The sequence below is a fragment of the Homo sapiens genome, chromosome 10 (assembly GCF_000001405.40).
Source record: "Homo sapiens chromosome 10, GRCh38.p14 Primary Assembly".
In the NCBI taxonomy this organism is placed as follows: Eukaryota; Metazoa; Chordata; class Mammalia; order Primates; family Hominidae; genus Homo; species Homo sapiens.
In genome coordinates, this window is record NC_000010.11 from 82,233,038 (window position 1) to 82,253,882 (window position 20,845).

At 38.1% G+C, this 20,845-nt stretch overlaps 1 protein-coding gene across 25 annotated transcripts in view; it reads left to right on the forward strand.

Moving 5' to 3' along the window:
- Window positions 1-20,845, forward strand: part of NRG3 (neuregulin 3) — a 1,111,986-nt gene that overhangs the window by 357,844 nt on the left and 733,297 nt on the right. The window lies entirely within an intron of this gene.

The window sequence follows — 20,845 nt, forward strand, 5'->3', positions numbered from 1 at the left end:
GTTTGCGTGCTTCAGGCTGGTCCCTTTCCTATCTTAAGTATTGGCGGCTGTTCGCAGTGGCTCACGCCTGTAATCCCAGCACTTCGGGAGGCCGAGGCAGGCGGATCACGAGGTCAGGAGATCAAGACCATCCTGGCTAACACGGTGAAACTCCGTCTCTACTAAAAATACAAAAAAATTAGCCGGGCATGGTGGTAGGCACCTGTAGTCCCAGCTAATGGGGAGGCTGAAGCAGGAGAATGGTGTGTACCCGGGAGGCGGAGCTTGCAGTGACCCAAGATGGCGCCACTGCACTCCAGCCTGGGCGACAGAGCGAGACTCCATCTCAAAAACAAAACAAAACAAAACAAAAAAAGAATTGGCTAGCCTCAAGCAAAGGTGATCTCTTCCCCAGTTAGAAAGATTTTCTAAGATATCAAAACATCACAAGGTACAGAAAATTTAAATATACATTTATCTACAATACAGCCTTGTTCTGGGCCTTCTTTTCCCTCACTTTCTTTCTATCATGACTTTCAATCCAGTAGCCTAAAATGCCATCTATCTTCTAATGACTTGCCTGAGATTCACTCTTGTGTATCTAACTGCCTCTTTGCCCCATGAATTTTCAGATATGTCCAAAACATACCTCTTGGTTCTCCTCCCCACTCTTGCTTCTCCCTCAGTCTTCCCTTTCAAGATAAATGGCACCATCAGCCAACCAGGAGGTCAAACCAGAAACCATTGGCTTCTTTAATTCCATTACTCTTCCCTTCCTATCCCACAAGCACCTACTTACACCCACATTTAAGAACCTTTTAACCATCTACTCATCCACAAAACTTAGTTCTTCCTTCAACAGAAATCTCAAATTCAGCAACTTCCCTACACTTCTGCTGCCACTGCCACTATCACCCTGCACCAAGCAAGCCGCTTTCATCTTACCCCTTTTCTGTCACAGTATCCCCCCATCATATTCTCCACATTTATACTCCTAGCTGCTCTACAAACCATTTTTGATTAATATTGGTAAAACAAACGACAATCACTCCCCGGCTCAAAACCATTCTCATTGATTTCTAGCTGTATTCAGGATGAAACATGCAAACCTTACCAGGGTCCAAATGCCTTCCTAGCATAACCTGTTCACTTCTCTGGTTTTTCCAACATAATTTTTTTCACTCTTCTTTCTCCCCCAACTCACTACGCTCCAATACCAATGGTCTTTTATCAGTTTCTGGAACGTGTTCCTGGTCTTGATTTAAAGGAAATGTAATTAAATAAAGATCTCCATAGAAACACTGTCTCTGTCTACTCTGTCTAAATTATTCCCTTCCTATGGTATTTTCCATTTCAGCAGTTTGTCTGTTTCCTTCAAAGCAGCTGATCACAGTTGCGATTACATTTACTTGTGACCTTATTTTGTGTTTTGTCATCTGGACGTTATGTTCCAGGAGAGTAGGGATAATATGAATGGTTTTCTCACCATCAGATCTCCAGTTCAATCACAGAGTAATAACATTATAGGCAATCAAGGGTAGACACATGCAGGACATACCCAATAAATAATTGTTGAATGAATGATTTAAGTTCAATTTGTTACAATATTTTATTCAAAATAGAGCAATCATTATTAACAAAACATGAAAGAGAAAAATGAGAGAGAGCTACAGCAGGGACAGCATCGTAAAAGTTAACTGGGATTTGGGCTTCTATTAGTGGCTTCAGCTCACTAAGATCTTTATACCAAGTCAAGTCAGGAGAGGCTGGAGAGAGAGCTGAGAAGGCTGGCTGACAAGGCTGTCTACACTCCACCTTACCTGCCATGGTTGTGACCATGCTATGCAGCGGGTCTCCACTGATAACTTTCTTCCTTCAGCCGTGCTTGCCTTGTTACTGTGTAATCGGGATGTGTTTGTATTTCTTATTTTGGCAGAAACACTCAAGAGAAGGGGCTTCATTTTAGTCTCAACTTACAACTGCTCTCTCCAATAATTTTTGTGTGTGACATATCCTAATTAGGCTCAGTGTCTTCCTGCATTCCCAGCAACTTGAGTGACAGATCATTCTATTAAATTTGGGGAGCAATGAGACTAGGGCAGGGGTTGGCCAGCAATGGCCTGAAGTCCAGATCCAGCCTGCCAGTTGTTTTTGTAAGCAACAAATTTTTTGGAACACAGCTGCACCCTTTCATGTACGTATCATTCATGACTGCCTTCCTGCAAAAATATTAGTACTGAGTTGATGGATATTGATGGTGGAGTTCACAAAGCTGAAAAATAACTTACTATCTGCCCCTTTACAGGAAAAGTTTGCCAATGTCTGGACTAGAGTATGAACTTCTTTATTCTGAGCCTTAGATACAGTATTAGAATAGTTTAACTATTTTTCTAACATCTCTATTTATACATTATTAATTAATTTCAGGGAAAATTGGATTTTGTTTACATCTTCCAATATCATTTAGTTCAGACTCTATTATGTTCCAGGCATTTACTTAATCGATAAAGAAAGCTTTTTGTGACCTTTCCATCTCAAGTAATCTCCCACTGCTCTTAAGGCCTATATTGTTTTGCCACCCTAGCACTTTATCTCTCATAGAGCTCTATCTCACCTGGTGCTTTATCTCCCGTAGCACACAGCATTTTGACCTTGTATGTGAATCATACGTGTGCATGGCTAATCTAGCCTACTAGTGTGGCATTGTGTAAAGAAAATTGTATTTTGAGAATGACAGATTGCTAGGCTCTGAGCTGCATACTAGTTGGGATTCTGCCTCTTTTGCTGACCTGGAAAGTTGTCCAGCGTGTGTCACTTGGTAGACGTTTTATCATGCATGAATGAGTCCGCATTATGCCTCTATATTAATAGAGACTTGCCTCCTTGATTTTTGTAGATCACAGTAGAACTGGATCTACAATGAACATTATTTAGCATGGCCCATCCCTGCCACACACACACATAGACACGCACACACACACAGACACAGACACACACACACATACATACACACACACACCCCTCACTCTCACTGGTGTCTTGTGTCCACTGTTTCTAATCATTAAATAGAGGATAGGTTTGGACACTGTACTTTTACAGTCAGTCGTTAGAATCCTAACTCTGTCATTTATTGAGGGACTTTGAACAAGATACAAAAGATGACCTTTAATTTCCTCATCTTTTAAATGTAGCTAATCACAGCCACCTTCCAGTACTGTAGTAGGAAGTAAATGAGATAGCAAGCACAACTGGAAGGAGCTGGCATAGCTCATAACTCACTGTAAGTGGTCAGTAGAGGTCAGTTTTGTTCACAACCAAGGCCTGCGACTTCCACTCCAAAATGCTGAGGGAAACCCTGCTTCTCAGTTACCTGAATTGTAGTCTCCAGGGGTGTGAAAGCCAGGGTGCTTCTTTTAATTTCCTGCTCCCCGTGATTTCAGATCCCCTCATTCAGTCTTTGCCATCCTTGTACATTGCACTACAATCTGCCACAGTGTGGAAGCCAGAACTCTGAGTCATTACTGCTGTTCCCTGCATCCTTAAGGCCTCGGAAATATATCTTTACTCAGTCCACTTCTCACTTAGTTTCTCAGTCATCTGTTTAACCCAAACTATGATTTTATTTTCCCTGGTCTGATTGAAAAATCTTCATCCTGGCCTCCCTCTATCTCCTTCTCCATATGAAAACTAGAACTTTTTTTTTTTTTTTTTTTTTTTGAGACAGAGTCTCGCTCTGTTGCCCAGGCTGGAGTGCAGTGGTGCGATCTCCGCCTACTGCAAGCTCCGCCTCCCGGGTTCATGCCATTCTCTTGCCTCAGCCTCCTGAGTAGCTGGGACTACAGACGCCCACCACAACGCCCAGCTAGCTTTTTGTATTTTTAGTAGAGACGGGGTTTCACCGTGTTAGCCAGGATGGTCTCGATCTCCTGACCTTGTGGTCCGCCCACCTTGGCCTCCCAAAGTACTGGGATTACAGGTGTGAGCCAGCGCACCCGGCCTAAAAAAACTAGAACTCTTAAACACATATATCAGACAATGTCTTTTCAAAAACTCCTAATGATTTCTAATGAAGATTAACATAATATCAGATCCCTATGCAGTGGTCTACAGGCTGTCATGGAGATGCCTCTAAATTAATTGCATATCTTGGAGTTTGTTCACAGTATACCAGGCTCCAGGTCCCATGAACTGATGTCAGTAGCTTTTAAGACCAAATTATTTTCTGCCTCAGCACTTTTGAACATTTTATGCCTCCTCCTTGTAAATCTTTCTGCCTCTGTTTGCAAAGGTCATTCTTTATATCCATCAGGTGTCAGTTAAAATTATACTGTTGGAGATCTCTATGAATACTCCATTCTTTTTGTCATTCCTTTTCTTAGAATCCTGTTTTTCCTGCTTATTCTTACAACAATTTGTAATTTTATAGGTAGATAGCTAGCAATCATTTACTTATTTTTGTTTGACATTCCTATTACTTTGTGTACTCTGTGAAGGCTGAACTATGTCTACTTCATTCATTCATTCATTCATTCATATATGCTCAGACCCAGTGCATTTTTTTTTTGCTATATAGTAGTGCTTAATATATTATTCTTGAATGAATCAATCATTTGATCAATCAACAATGATTTTAGGCAAATTTACCTCTCCCCAGCATATTTTCCTCTGAGCATAAATGGCTCACTGAAATTCTGGCCTGTAAATAGAAATGTATATTTCCTAAGAAGACTGCGAGTATACCAATGATTTGAAAAATGAACAGAGGTTCTTACATGACTTTAAGAAGATAATTCCCTTTCAAAATGATGCTTTTTCCAAATCTAGTAACAGGACAAAGTAAGATCATTTTGTTGCTTCACTCTTTAACATTTTAATTGTCAAAGAGCTTGGAGAATTCTCTTTGAGGTTTAGTGCACAGCAAAGTGTAATAAGAAAAAGTATTGGTTTCAGGTTACAATTGGTAAAAGAAATATTTTAAGATGTCTTTCAGCAATCTTAGTGTTTCTCTGTAATCATAAATTTGAAGGTACTGATTTTACTATATTGGTAGTAATCTTAAAGTTAATACTCTAGCTGCATATCTCAGAATGATATACAAAACAAGGATTTCCATTTTATTTGGAATTATAAAATGCTTTTACAAAGCCTGAATTTGTCCATAGCTCATGAATATTCCTTTTGTAGTGTTGTTTTGCTATTTTAGAATTCAGCAAAAGAAACTTGAATTCAGACTACATTCTAAGCATCAATAAGTATAGCAATCCTATAACACAGGCAAATATAAATGCCTGTTCTAAAAAAGCTTAAAAAGAAAAAAAAAAGTCCTTACTGAGTATATAAAATATTACGTTTTTACTCATTTAATCATCATCCATGAGGTGACAACTATTATCTCAATTTTGCCAGTGGGGAAAGAGTCATACAGAAAAGTCCCTTGTTCAAAGTCACATTGGTAGTAAGTGACTGTAAGGATTTGATTGCAAGTTTCTTAAACATCAAAGTTCAGGTTCTTTTCATTGCTGATTGCCTTCTGACTTTTTGCATCATCCAGTTCTTTTTCTTTCTCTCCCCCTACCCTTTTCCCCATTCTCCATTCCCTTTCCCCTACCACCTTGAGACAACCATTCTAATTTACATAATGTGTACATCTGGATTTGTGTGTGTTCTTACATGCATTTTTTATTTACTTGATGCTAGTTTCCACTTTTTTGATTAAACATTCTATTTTTCAGCTCACGTTGTTGTGTGAGCATATAATCTATCACTTCTCATTGCTGCATGATTCTGTCCATTAATGGAAAACCTGTTTTCTTCTAACCTTCTACCATCATAAATTACTCTGCAGCTAAAAGGCCTATGTCACTTATTTTTAGTGCATTATTTTTAGGTTATACCGTATATATATATATATAATATTTATATAATATATACTTCTTGTGCCTAAAGTTCTTTACTTCCTCCAAGTCATAAAGATATTTTCTCATGGTTTTTTCTTATATCTATAGGTTTACATCTTAGATTTAGATTTTTATTCCACCTTTGTATCTGCTGTTAGCTTAGTTCCAGTTTTATTTTGATATATAGTATGAGCCAGTATTTATAATACGATCTATTAAACAATTAAATAGTTTAAATATTTTTGTATTGTATTCACAAAAAGGAACTTATTTTTAACTTCTATGTGTGTATATATATGCATATATACATGTATACACATATATACACATACATATATATTTTTTGAGATGGGAGTCTTGCCCTGTTACCCAGGCGGGACCATAGGCATGTGTCACCATGCCTGGAAAATTTTTGTATTTTTAGTAGAGATGGGGTTCCGCCATGTTGGCCAGGCTGGTCTCGAATTCCTGACCTCAGATGATCCGGCCGCCTTGGTCTCCCAAAGTGCTGGGATTACAGGCATGAGCCACCGCACCTGGCCAGGTTGCACCATAGTATCTAAAGATTTTTCTGTGTCTTTACAACCATTTTTTTTGCCAATTTAATTGGTGTAAATGATATTTATTGTTGTTTTAATTTATCTGATTACTAATTAAGCATCTCTTTGTTTACCTATTAGCATTATTAGTTTGGCAGTCTTAAATATCACAAATATCCTTCTTCATTCTGTAATCTATGACTTTTTTTGCTTATTTTTTGCTGCCTTTGCTTTAAAAGTTCTTCACTTCCTCCAAGTCATAAAGATATTTTCTCATGGTTTTTTCTTATATCTATAGGTTTACATCTTAAGATTTAGATTTTTATTCCACCTTTGTATCTGCTGTTAGCTTAGTTCCAGTTTTATTTTGATAATATAGTGTGAGCCAGTATTTATAATATGATCTATTAAACAATGAAATAGTTTAAATATTTTTGTATTGTATTCACAAAAAGAAACTTATTTTTAACTTCTAGAGAAAGAAAAGTGACTCTTAATATTATAACGCCTTTCCCATAATAGAGTGTACTGGTATTTTTTTTAAAATAAGTGCAAGTCATATTTTATGCCTGTTTTGAATCTGATCAAAAAAAGTTTTTCCTATTTGTGTGAGTCTGTAAAGGCACATTTCCTTTTGTTTTTTCTGCTTTAGCCTAGAGTTCTCGTTGGAACTGACATGACATAGGATTTTACATTGAATAGTTAAAGAAAAAATAACTCTTTTTCCCCCCAGCAATTAATATACCACTATCGATATAATGTGATTTTATCAGTTTAAATGGAAAACTGAAATTAAAGAGAAATTCTCTATTAAAGATAATTTATTAAAATTGGTAAATTATATGCATTTGAATAAAAAAAATCATTAACAGACTTTTATTTCTTTTCCAAATATGAAGATGAAAGTGTAGATTTCAGATACATATAAAATGCATGTTTTATTATAGCATTATATGATTTTAATAGAATTATTTTCCACTAAATGATGGTTGCTTAAGAATTTTGGAAGAATGGAATTTTTGAAGTATGAGCTAGAACTGAAGGGAAGATGAAGAGTCCGAAATGGTTCCTAATTCCATTAGGGGAAAAAGACTTTTCAATCAGTCACTCGAGTGTCCACAGAGAAACGTCTGATGCTATTTCAGGGGATAATCTAGTGGAGGAAGATGGCCTCAATTGAAATGCTTAGTTGATTATGTAGTTCATTCCAGAATAAATAGGCTATTTACTTTGTCTGAAAGTTCAATAGATTTGGATTTCAGTCAAATGGAATGGCATTAGATCTTTCTTTATGAATGTTGATACAAGTGTGTTTAGAGAGGACTTCTGTCAGTTTTTATTAGTAATATTCTTATTGGTTGAGTTTTCTTCTCCCTCATTTGCTCAGTGCTCCAATTTTGTGGAGGTCATTTTATTTTTGACGTTATGACATAGGCAAGTAGAAGCCTCTAAGATTTTTTTTAAAAAACCCTGTTACAATGTTTTATTCTTATAATTTTGTAACTTTCTTAATCAAATGCTGTGGAGACAAACTGCAAGAGGAAAGGTTCTTTTTAAGGGTACACACATGTTGGAGATGAAATTCCTTGAGTTTTTGGGAGAAAATAAGAAACCTGCTGATTCTCTGAGCTAGAATAATTTATACTTTTCTATGAACATTAGAGAAGTGATATACTTTAAGGTGTGAGGACAAAAACTTGCAAAAAAACAACATTGCATTTGAATTATAGATGGCATCTAAATGATAAAATGTATAAAAATATCCCTAAAAGATAATTTCTTTGTCATAATTGAGAGGGGAGCAGTAGCGTATAGGAGAGTTTGCCACACAGAAGATCAAATTTCAGCTCTGACATTTCCTACTTTGAGAATCTAGCTGAATTACAATTCTAAACTTTTGTCCTTATCAGTAAAATGTCTATATCTGACAGTATACAAGGGGTATCTTTTGTGCCTAGCTTAACTGGGCCCTCAGCTGTTTATTTTTTTAATTTTTCCTTCTGTCCTCCATCACCATTCCCAGATTCTTACATTAAGGACAACTAAGCTAAACATTACTCATAAGGAAGACACCTTGTTTGTTTTATTAATAGCTAGTTTAGCACATAATACATTTTAAATTGTCTGCCTATGACTAATGGCAAAAGGTGTAAGTCCGTATTTCTTTAGAGAAGTAAAATAATTGGCCTTTATTTACAGTGATCTTGTAATCTTTGTTCTTTTGTGGTGGTTACTAATTATGTCAGTGTCAAACTAATCATATTAAGTAATGGAGGTTAAATTCCCCCAGTGATTTAGAATACAAGAATGGAATATTTTGGCATTAAAGAATGACTTTTCTTTTGGAAGTACATCGCGAAGTCTTTGCAATATACATATTTGTCAATTACCATCTGTGTAAAGCAACAGACAGCTGCTCAGTAGCATTTCCTGGAGTGGACTGGAAGGATCTTTCTCACCATATGACTCTGAGACAGTTAGAGACCCACCAAATTGAAGATTACTTGATGTAAATTCACAGCACATACCTGGTTGATACAGTTTATATTAACATGTTTCTTCTAAGAAACAATAAGCTCTTTTTTTTCAATAAGGAAAATATTTTTATCTGGGAAAAACTGTACAACATTTATATAGTGAATGATATTCTTTTAAAATAATTTGTTATAAGCCTTTCCTAACAGTGGGATATGACAAACTAGAACATGTGCAATACAAGTGATATTTTAAGAAGACACTCAGAAATGTAATCCAACTTCAATCGTGGATGCCCCCCAGTTTTGTTTGTTTTCTATGTCTGGAATTTTCTTGTCATAAAATTCTAAATTATTTAAGGTGAATATCCTTTGCAAAAGATGGTGTCTAAATTATGTCTCCAGAAAAGTTAGAAACCTGCAGTTTCAGGAATATTTTCATTGAGTACCCATCAAGTGCCAGAAAATATATTAGGGACAAAGAACATTTCTGTAAATAGAACAGGCAATGATATTTGCCCATCTGTTGGGCTTGTATTTTCTCTTTGAGTAACCACTATGTGCTAAGTGAAATGTAGTCAATTTAAAATGGTTTATAAAATAATAAGAAAAAAGTCATTTATAGGTACAACATTCTTTCTAAGGAGTGCAGAAGCTGAAGTTATTGTTTTGCTGAGACCTGGAGAGGTTTGCATATTCAAAATTGGGGGAAGAGCTAATTACTTGTATTGTAGAAGAAGACTTTGGAATTCTTGTGGAGGAGATTAGGTGGAGAGAGAGGGTGGGGGTGTGAGAGAGAGTAAGAAAGAAAAAGTGAAGTACATGTGTTTCCCAAATGTTGTGTTTCTGTACATCTCAGGCAGGGAACCCATTCTCCACCCATCTGACCACTTCTGCCTTATTTACAAATTTTGATTTGCTGGAAAGGGAATTCTACTGGCAAATGCACAGTCTGTTTCTCACTGATACACCTTGGCTGAGTTTCTACCTACAGTCTGACCCTTTTGAACAGAAAGTGTTAAGGACTTCCCGTTAGGGCTCGTGCTTAAGCCTCAGGTTGAACCTACTTGATCCTTAAGAAAAGCAAACAAAGCAAAACTCTCAAACAGAAAGCACTGTGTACTTATTTCCTTCCATAAAATTTTATTGTGCACTGTGTTGCAGGGACTTTGCTGAGCTTCACAAATTTCCTTCATACAACTTTTACTGCATGTAAAAGAGACCCACTCCAAAGTTAAAGTGATATGTTGTCAGAACATGAAATCAAACCAGAAGTAAAAATACTGGATATGTAAAAAATATAACAGCCTTCTAGTAAATATGCAAAAATCAAAATATGCAAAAAATCAGTCTTCTAGTAAATGCAAACATATTGGAAACATGATCATTACTGATAACTAGAAATATTTCTAATAGCAGAAAATAAACAGAAAATGGAGAAGACATAATCAAAGAAATAATAAAAGAAAATATGACTTAAATTTACAATACAAGTGCCCCACCACAATTTAAAATTTTAAAAAGACAAGCTGAAGGCACATATTTATGAAAATTCATAATACTAGAGTTAAAGAAAAAAATTTAAGGTCTTTAGAAATAAAAATTAAGTCAAATCCCGGTGATTAGTACTCAAAATGACTTTACACTTTCCAACAGTGATCCTAGAAATTAGAAGAAATTGCAGCAATGTATTCATATTCTGAAGGAAAATAACTATCTTTCGGTCTGAATTGTCATGATTATATAAAGGTTAAGTAAATAAGTTACTCCAACTTTCCCAAGTTAATTTTTTAAAGAAACATAGATCTTGACTTCCAGCTAATACACAAAGTTTTTAACCTGGAGGAAACTGCTAACTGAGCTGTGATGGTAAGTAAAATGTGTATTTCTTTTCTTTTGGGTACAATAGCTATATCATTATACAGCAAAGGAGAGAAATTGCTACGCAGGATTTAGTGATATTTTCAAGGATAGCATTTAATAGGAGAAATTTCTGCTTGAGGTGAAGATCTGTCTGGAAATTTTTGTTAGACTAATTTTTTTAAATGTTAATTATGATGCTATACTTTTTCTGAATCAGTTCAAGGAGATTAATAGTCAAAAAAGAAGGTGTGCAGACAGTTGCTTAATGAGATCTGAGAAGGAAATTTAGAATCCTATGTTCTTTTCATCATCAACAGGCATTTTACCTAAAAGTCTAGAAAGACACCATTGTGATTTTTTTTCCTTTGTCCTGTAACTCTTTCCTATGGCTTGGACAGTGACAATAGCATTCGTGCTGTTCAACTGGCAGGGAACCTAATTATGGCTGTTTTATCTGAAGCTCAGATAATTTCAGAGCTCTTTGAAAAGATTATTACCTTAATCTACCAGTTAAATTCTTCAGTGCACTTATGAGAACCATAGCATCAACTCTGTAGATTGTAAGAGAAATCTAGAATTTAGAAAGATGAGGGAGTGAGCAAAATGAGCATTGAATTAGATGTCTGGAGACCTAGGTTCTGGAACTATTTTTGGGTAGTTGACCTCATCTTTTTGGAGTGCCATTGCCTAATCAGAAAAATAAGGACGATGGAATAGGTGGTCTTCTGAATCTAAATTATTTTGTTGAATTTTTTTCTCTACTTTGAATTCTCAAAAATATTTTGCTTTAGAAGCGTTCTATTAGTATGTATAATGATGTAAAGCAGCGGTCCACAACCATTTTGGCACCAGGGATCATTTTTGTGGGTAACAATTTTTTCACAGGCCAGGGGGTACTGAGAGCGGGGGATGGTTTCGGGATAACTCAAGTGCATTACAATTATTGATTGACTGATTGATTGGAGACAGAGTCTTGCTCTGTCACCCAGGCTGGTGTGCAGTGGCTTGATCTCGGCTCACTGCAACTGCCGCCTCCTGGGTTCAAGCAATTCTCCTGCTTCAGCCACCTGAGTAGCTGGGACTACAGATGCCCACCACCATGCCCGGCTAATTTTTTGTATTTTTGTAGAGACGGGGTTTCACCTTGTTGCCCAGGCTGGTCTCAAACTCCTGAGCTCAATCTGCCCTCCTCAGCCTCCCAAAGTGCCAGGATTACAGGTGTGAGCCACCGCACCCAGCCAGTGCATTACATTTATTGTGCACTTTATTTATATTATCATTACATTGTAACATACAATGAAATAATTATACAACTCAACATAATGTAGAATCAGTGGGAGCCCTGAGCTTGTGTTCCTGCAACTAGAGGGTTCCATCTGTGGGGGATGGGAGGCAGTGACAGATTATGAGGCATTAGATTCCCATAGGGAGAGCATAACCTAGATCCCTCGCATGTGTAGTTCACAATAGGGTTCTCACTCCTGTGAGAATCTCATGCTGTGGCTCATCTGACAGGAGACGGAGCTCAGGTGGTAATGCAAGCAATGGGCAGTGGCTGTAAATACAGATGAAGCTTTGCTCACTCACCAGCAGCTCACCTCCTGCTGTGCAGCCTGATTCCTAACAGGCCAAAGACCAATACAGGTCCATGGCCCAAGGGTTAGGGACCCCTGATGTAAAAGACTTATATATGTTGGTGAAAAGAGCAGACACAGAGGAAATTCCACACACACATGGATTTAAATCTTGGATTTATTCTTAGGGGCAGTATCATCTGGAATGGATTATTCTGCCTCTCTGAGATTCACCTTCTACAACTATAAAAAGAGAAACATGGCACTTAGTTTTCAATATTTTTCAAAAATTGCTAATAGTATAAGTACCTGACATAATAAAAACATTCAATTAATAGCAACTGTTATTTGTGTGATGTTTTCTAACTTAAGAACTAGGACATGAATTTAACCACACAGGAATTCTCATTTTTGAGAAGATAAAGAATGAGGAAAATCTGAAAAATATTGGAAATCATTAATAAAATTCTCCTTTGATCAAAGATTTATTTCGGCATTCCCTAATTTGCCCTGCTCTTGGGTACGTTAGAATACATTTATCCTACTTTACACTTTGAAAAATTTGTGCAAATGCCATGATTGTAGCATTAGCCTGATTTTTTCCCAGTCTTCTGGTTTTTTTTTTTTTTTTTTTTTTTAACTCAACATATATTGTGAAACACTCGGGTATTTATTCCTCAGGAAAGTATGACATATGAATGAGAGCTAGAGGATAAGATCTTGTGATAATAAATTTTTGAGGTTAGTCTCTCTGTGTCCTTGCAGTTTTCGCATGTAACTACTTACTCTGTGGAGTCTACACTTATATGTAAAAGGCAGTTTCTGTGTTAGCTGGTTTATTTTAAAAAGAAAAGACTTGGGGCAGTGACCATCTCCCTTATCTGAAGACAGTGATATTAGATCATTCCCAGACTGGCCTATTTTGCTTTCACATACTGCAAAATGCTTGATATGCCTCATTTTTGTGCTTTAGTAATCATTCAGACTTTGACATGCATTTCTTGAGGGTGTTATAACATGTTTTTGAATTTTCTCCAGGAAGCACTCTGATGATGTGATGAATAATTTAGCTGGATAACTATTTACTAGAGAAAACACGAAGGATGAAAAAATCTAAACAAACTTTTTTCACTGAGATAAATAATGAGGGCACCTACTCTTTTGGCAAACGGTATAATTACTGCTTTCCTGGTTACCAGTGAAATCTGGGATATGCTAATGCTTTGGCATAAACAACTGAATATAAATCTCAATAATTGAAGTTTGACCAAAAGAGGGGTTAAATATGTCTAAGAGGTCAAACACAGAGCAGAAAAAAAAGAATGGGAAATGATCTTAGTCTGAATCGCAAGATTGCATGTTTTGCTTTTACTCAAAAGAGAAGGAACTGGTATTTAGAAGGAGTTTTTTTTTCAGAGAGTAAGGCGTTCAGAGTCACTGGGTCTGAGTGTGAATGCTGGCCCACCTGCTATGTGAATGGCCTTGAGCAAGGAAATACATCTCTCAGCCTGGTTTTCCACTTCTCTAATATAGGATCACACCCTCTGCCTTGGCTACATAAGAGAACTGTTATAAGGTATGCTAAAGTTGCAACTGAGAAAACCTGCCGTAAGCTATAAAGGACTAGGAAATGTCAGAAATGATTGTAATGCTGTTGGCCCTTCAGCTGCAGTGCCAGCTGCAGAAATTAAAAGGAGGCTGAAAATTTGATGTTGCCCTTGGAAGTGAGGGGAAACATTGTTCTCCTCAGCAAACCTGGTCTAACATGTCTGCCAATCCAGTGAACGTATTTCAGCATGTGTCATGTGGGATGCACCTTATGAAGGGCTGTCTATACAGATGTTAGGGTATATCTTAGTTAATTTGGCTTATAACAAAGTGCCATAGAGTGGGTAGCTCATAACAAATAAATTTATTTTTCACAGTTCTGGAAGCTGGGAAATTTGAGACCAAGGACCCAGCATGTTCAGGTTCCTGTGTGGGCTCTCTTCTGGGCTGCAGACGGCCACCTTCTCGCATGTCCCCTCTTAGAAAGAGAATAAGAGAGCTCTTGGGGGTTCCTTTTATAAAGGCTCTAATTCTGTTTATATGAACTATTACTGATGACGTAATTACCTCCCAGAAGCCCCACCTTCTTATGCCATCCTTTTGGGGGTTGGAATTTCAACATATGGGTTTGGAGAGACACAAACCTTCAGTCCATTACAGGGTCCAAGTTGCTTCATGATCCACAAACTACCAAAATCTAATACTTGATACAAATTCACCCAGAAAAACATTAGAATACAGGGATCTGTCTTGTTCTAAAATGGGAATTTATTATGCTTAAACCAAACCTTATAGTGAATCCTTGAAAATTCAGACCAGAGTCTGAATGTACCCCTCTAGGGTACTTACCACTTGGATATTTCTAGTAATTTATAATGAGCATTGAGACTGCCCATTCAGATATATTCATATACTTCTTTAAATAATCAAAACGTGTTTTCTCTTCCCTTCTATTTACTGCTGATTTTCATTCTACCTAACTTCTCTGCAAAGATGGTTTACCTTGGTAACTAGCAATAACAATAATAATAATAGTAATAGTAGTAATAGCAAAGGTATCATTTACTTAACTCCATCAGAATTTTACATACTCTTATTTCTGATTTTATTATTTCTTTACCATGCAAATTTGAACAGAATCATCTCTGTCCAATGGCCCATCTTTCTTATTACTCATCCACTCTTAACTGCTTGCAATGTATAACCGTAACCCTGCTCTAAAACTACTGACCTAACAGGCAGCAGGGAATTCCTTTTATTCAGTTCACTAGCTCTTTCAAAATTCTAATCTGCTTTGACTTTTCAGTACCATTTAACTCTCTGGAATAATTTCTTTGTTTTTGAAATCCTCTATACTGTGGCATGTCAATTTATACCTTTGTGAGAGCTTCTTGGTCTCCTCTGTCTACTCCCTCTGTTCCCAGTCCCTGTGTGTAAATTCTGCCCTCTCCATTCCCACTGTGACTCCTCAGTTTTAGGCTGTCATCATTTCTCACCAAGATGTTGAACTGGCTCCTCCGTGAGAGAGCAGAGTGGAGAGGTGAAGCAAGTGTCTGCCTGCCTTCCTGGTCCATGACCTCTCCCTGCCCTTCCATGCTGGGTGACCATCTGCATGTAAAGTTGGTTTTAGCTTTCTTATTGGTGAAGTGGGGATAATAATAGTATCTATTTTTTGGATGAATGGGAGGGGTCAATATGTTACTACGTGCAAAAATGCTTAAAATAATTCCTGGCCCTTGGTAAGTGCAACATAAGTGCTGCCATTACTGTCTTTGTTTTAATATTAGTTATGATCATTATCATTTTAAGTGGTCTCCCTGCTGTTGGATCACTTGCTTCCAGTACATTCTGTACACAGCAGTCAAATTATTGTAAAACAAAGCTTAGTTTATGTTACTAAGCTGTTTCATATTCATATTTGCATTCTATATTGCCTAACAATTTTAATCAGGCCCTCAATAGTCCTGGTTTGTGTTTCCTGGCTTGTCTGCAAGTCTCAGTATAATAGTCAGTACTGATGTCTCCCTTCCCCACCGTGCTTTCCTTACTTTCTAGAATTGTGCTTTCCTTCCACCTCCATTAAAATCCTACCTGCCATTCACAAGACCCAGAACAAATGCTACCAGACCCTTGATGCCTTTTGTAATCCTCTATGATCAAGCATAAGTCTGTCCTCTCTGAAACTATTAAGTAAAGGTCTTTATTTTAGGTTTCTTTTTGGCCCCATATCTCTGTATTTGGTATTTTATTTATTTATGTACATGTTGTTATCTTTTTTCCTAGATTATAAACTCCTTGGGGAAGAGCCTTTATATGGCCTTCCAGCTCCCTGCACAGGACATTACATCCAGTAGACAGATGTTCAATGAAGGGCTATTGAATTCATGTGGATTTCCATGTGAGAATAGAGCTGGATATTCACTTCCCTTTTTGCTGTGCTTGCTAAGCAGACTCATTTGCACCGGCCACTACCCCAGTTGGTCACCAGGAATAGAGGGTACTTATGGAGATTCTTTTCCCACCCCCCACCATCTTTTAGGATTTAGATGTTGTTTATACACTGAAAAGTTCAGCTTTTGGCTCATAGTAGCAGATACTGTTGGATATTTGTTGAATGAAAAAGAAAATAAATAGTAAACATTTGCTGAGTGAGAAAGAAAAAATAAATAATGAATAACCACACCCTGACCCACTTGTCTGCCAGAAGTGGGAAAAAGTTGTAAATAAGCATTTTCTGGAGGAAAAACACACAACCCACACTTGCTTCTGAATGGTGTGGGAAACATAGATTGAGTCTAAAATTGAGAGGCATGCTTATGTTTACTAAGCACATGGAGAAGCATTATCAGAACACTACTGGCTTTTGCAATACATTCTTTCGTCTTTTCAAAAGTAACTTTTTCTATCACATTTGGCTTAGGTTAAGATTCAAATCAATTTACCCTTCACTTGATTCGTTTTTGTCAGTGTGGTAACCTTATCAGCAATGCAGTTTGCACCCAAAAAGATTTGCTGCAGAAATGAATGAGGCCCTCTAAGCCCAATGTGAATATAAACTCCACAGCGATGGTAGAAATGGTCTCAGGTGACCCGTCAGAATAAGAAGTACTTCCTCTCCAGAGGTCCTGGCTTGTTATCCCCCAGAGCCACACAGTGAATGAAGCTAAACTCCTGTTCTTGAGGTGGAATTATCTCATAACATTTGACACTTTAGTAGTTTATAAAGATAACCCAGGAAATAAAATTTCAGGAGTTGAAACAAGTATTCACTGAAGACAGGACAACTAAAATATGCCACAAAAATTGAGGATCAATATATCAATATGGAAGGTTTTTAAAAATTTTTATTTGTTTAACTTTTATTTTTGTGCTTGGCTTTTCTTGGGATGTATTTAGGTATGAAGACAGTAGAAATAAGATGTATACACTTTGGGAGGCTGAGGCAGGTGGATCGCCTGAGGTCAGGAGTTGGAGACCAGCCTGGCCAACATAGTGAAACCCCATCTCTACTAAAAATACAAAAAATTATCTGGGCATGGTGGCAGGCACCTGTAATTCCAGCTACTTGGGAGGCTGAGGCAGGAGAATCACTTGAACACCTGGGAGGCGGAGATTGCAATTAGCCAAGATGGAGCCATTGCACTCCAGCTTGGGCAACAAGAGCGAAACTCCGTCTCAAAAAACAGAATGACTTCTGCTGAGATATCAAGACCACGTTGGTCTTGACCCCTGCTTCCAGGAAGCCTTGCTTGACTGTCTAGGGCTGAATTTTATACCATTTTAAAAGACCCTGCTAATTCCTGTCCTTACATACATCACATAGCAGTGATCATTTAATTGTCCAGACTCCCCATCTACGTCACAAGCCACCTGAAGGCAGATCACAACTACATAGCTCCTTGCCTGGTGCCTGGCTCTAGTCTATATTTACCGGATGCTGTATTAAAAGAGGTAAAACCAAGGCATGAGTCTGCTGTTGCAGCTCAGAGGCCTCAATCAGACAGATGCCAAGCTGCATTTGATCGGCAGTCTTGTATATTTGACTGACAACGTTCTGGCTTGCAAGTATTTAATAACAACAGAAAGTGAATTAGTCACCAATACATAAAAATTGAGAGACTTTACACAAATCTGAATTCCTGGGCTCTCTTGAAATACCTGAAAATCTGACGACGTTGGACGTACATTGCTACAAAAACCTGGAGAAGAATGTCATGGCTATGAATAGTGAAAGTATTCTCCACTCTATCCTATTCCCCCTGGCACTTAAAGCTTCCTTAGTTCTCACCTCTAACAACCCACTGGGCCTATAGGAACTTGGAGCTGTTCCTTCTCTTCCTGGGTGTCTCATTAGAGGGATGACCCCAAGCTTCTCCTCCCCCTCTTCCCTCTGACTCTTCCTCTTGTTAAAAGAGCATGGATCTTGCTTCCTAAGAAGGATCTTATCCTCTAAAGCCATTGTCCTGCTGAGCGACAGGAAGCTCCTCATCTACAGTGGCCCTGCAGGTACCGAGAAGGCTTTTCATGCAGCTCTGACTCCACATGGGAGTGATCACAATCAGGATTCCCTCACAGACTGCCTGGCTTCAGTGCTGCACTCTCCTGCCTTGAGTCTTGAACTGCTTCGTGATCCTGACCACAGTCTTGTCACCTGCTTGGCCTGAGAAGCATGAAGGTGGTAGATCCTGGTGCCGCTCCTGACCACCCAGCAGATAACACTTTGATTTTTTTTCTAAGTAGAAATTGATCAGTGTGGGATTTCGAGATTTTCAAAGGTGCCTTTGTTTAAATCGAGAATTGGGCAAGGTAGGGATCTTCGTTAAAAAGCACCATGTGGTCACCGGGGTTAATGAGGCAGATCAGAGCAGCACTGACACTAAATAAAGGCCAATTAACTCCAATCACTGCAGGCCTGGGTGCTTTCTGGCAGTGCAATCTCCCTGTGGGGGGCTTCTTGTCCTGACAACTCTCTGGCAGAGGTAAGGAGGACTGGCTCCAAAAGAAGGCCCCTGAGCAATGGTGTGGGGTGAGGGCATTGCCCCTCCCCACCACACTGCCCATCAGGGGCTTATGGCTTTTCTTGGAAGGCATCGCCCCCACCCAGCCTGCCCTGCATGGTGCTGTGGACAGAGAAGCAAGACTCAGAGACTGAGGCCTTCTGTGGGCTCCCAACCAGCTCAGGGGCCAAGCACAGAGATTCAGATTCTCAAGACCCCTTTTCTCTATCCATTTAATTAATTGCCTTGAAGAGAGGATCACAGAGTTCTTGCTGAAAAATTATTTAAGTCCATGAATGAAGACAAATGATTTCAACACAAACATTGCTCAATTGGGTACAAAAAATTTTTTTCCCTTGTGTTTGCTTTAGTGATAAAAATAGCCAGTGCTGATGATATAAATTTCACCTCGTGCCAAGTGCTGATCTGAAACCTTTACCTACATTGGCTCAGCTGGTCTTCACAAATTTTCTATGATATGGATACTATTATTAATCCCATTTATACATGGGAAAACAGAGGCATTGGAAAAGTTCAGTTCTATGCTAGGTACTTTCCATGCCTACTTCTATGTGATTCTCATAAAAACCTCTGTGTGGTGAGTATTTTTAGCACTATATTACAAATGAGGACACTGAGATTCAGAAAACTTGTGTGACATATCTGGTACAGTATTGCTCCTAATGATACTAATAAAATGAGGATTTGGATTCACTTTTTTTTTCTATTTCCAAAGTATGGTGGTATAGAATAGCTAACTGCCTAGGCTGAAGGATTTAAAATTTTTCCTTAAGATTTATCTGTGAGCCCTCAGTTTTTCTATTCAAGGTTTCTGGATTGGAGAGTATAATCAGTACCAAAAACTAATAATGATCTTAAAATAGTGGGTACAGAATAATGCCTCTGGCTCCAGCTTGCTCCATTGAGTTTCACACCTGGCTGTATTACTTTCTTGCTTCTGACTTCTTTCAGCCACTAAGCCGTGGATGTTCTCAGTCCTCAGTCATTAAAGACTAGAACATCGCCCAAAGCCACCTTCGCTACTGCAACTACAGTCATTAGCATAACAGACCTCAGCATCCACAGAATCACTTCATCCAACACCCCGATCTCTCATTCCCTTTGCCTCCTCATCTCCAACCACCTTCTTCGCTTCGTCTAAGCCACACATTTCATCATCATACCTTGGAATTTCCCAATACCAACAACTATATCAGCTCTAATATTCCATGTTAAAATGCTCCATTTGTTTATCAAACACCCTCTGTTACTATCTGGTTAGTTCAAATACCTCCCATATTCTCTGACCTCACGAAACTCCCAATTTCCCCCAACACTTAGCTCCCTGGGAGCACCACTTTTCTTTCACTCCTGCTTGGATGCCATGATTCCAGCATTAGTTGCTCTCTTCCTACTTCAAACCCACAAGATGAACCTTCCTATCAACCTTCTCCACATTGACAACCAAGAAGTTGTAGACAATCACACAATGGGGGAGCTTGGCTGTATTGTTTATGACATACATTCAGGTCATCTCTAACTGAGCTGTCAGTCCTGCTCAACAGTCTCACTAATTTTTCTTTCGAGCTCACTCTCCCACCTTTTATGCTACCTTATAAATAGCTCTTCTCCAATCCTTCCGTTTCTTTTCATTCTCACTTCAAACACACCAGACTCAGCCACCATCACCTTACTCAAAAGCACAAATATTTTTCTAATCAGTCTTCAATTCAGTCTTGCCACTTTGCCTATTCATTCACCACACATAAGTCAAAATAATGTGTTTAGATCCTACATTTTATCATTTGATTCCCCTGCTTTAAAACTTTAGTGTCATTCCATAGCTAATAAGATAAAATAAAAATTCTTACCTCGGTTATCCTACAAGTATTGGTTCATCTGGCTGTGCCTAAACCTCACCATTCTTGCATACAATAATCCACCCCTTTACATTCTACCTTCATGATCTTATTT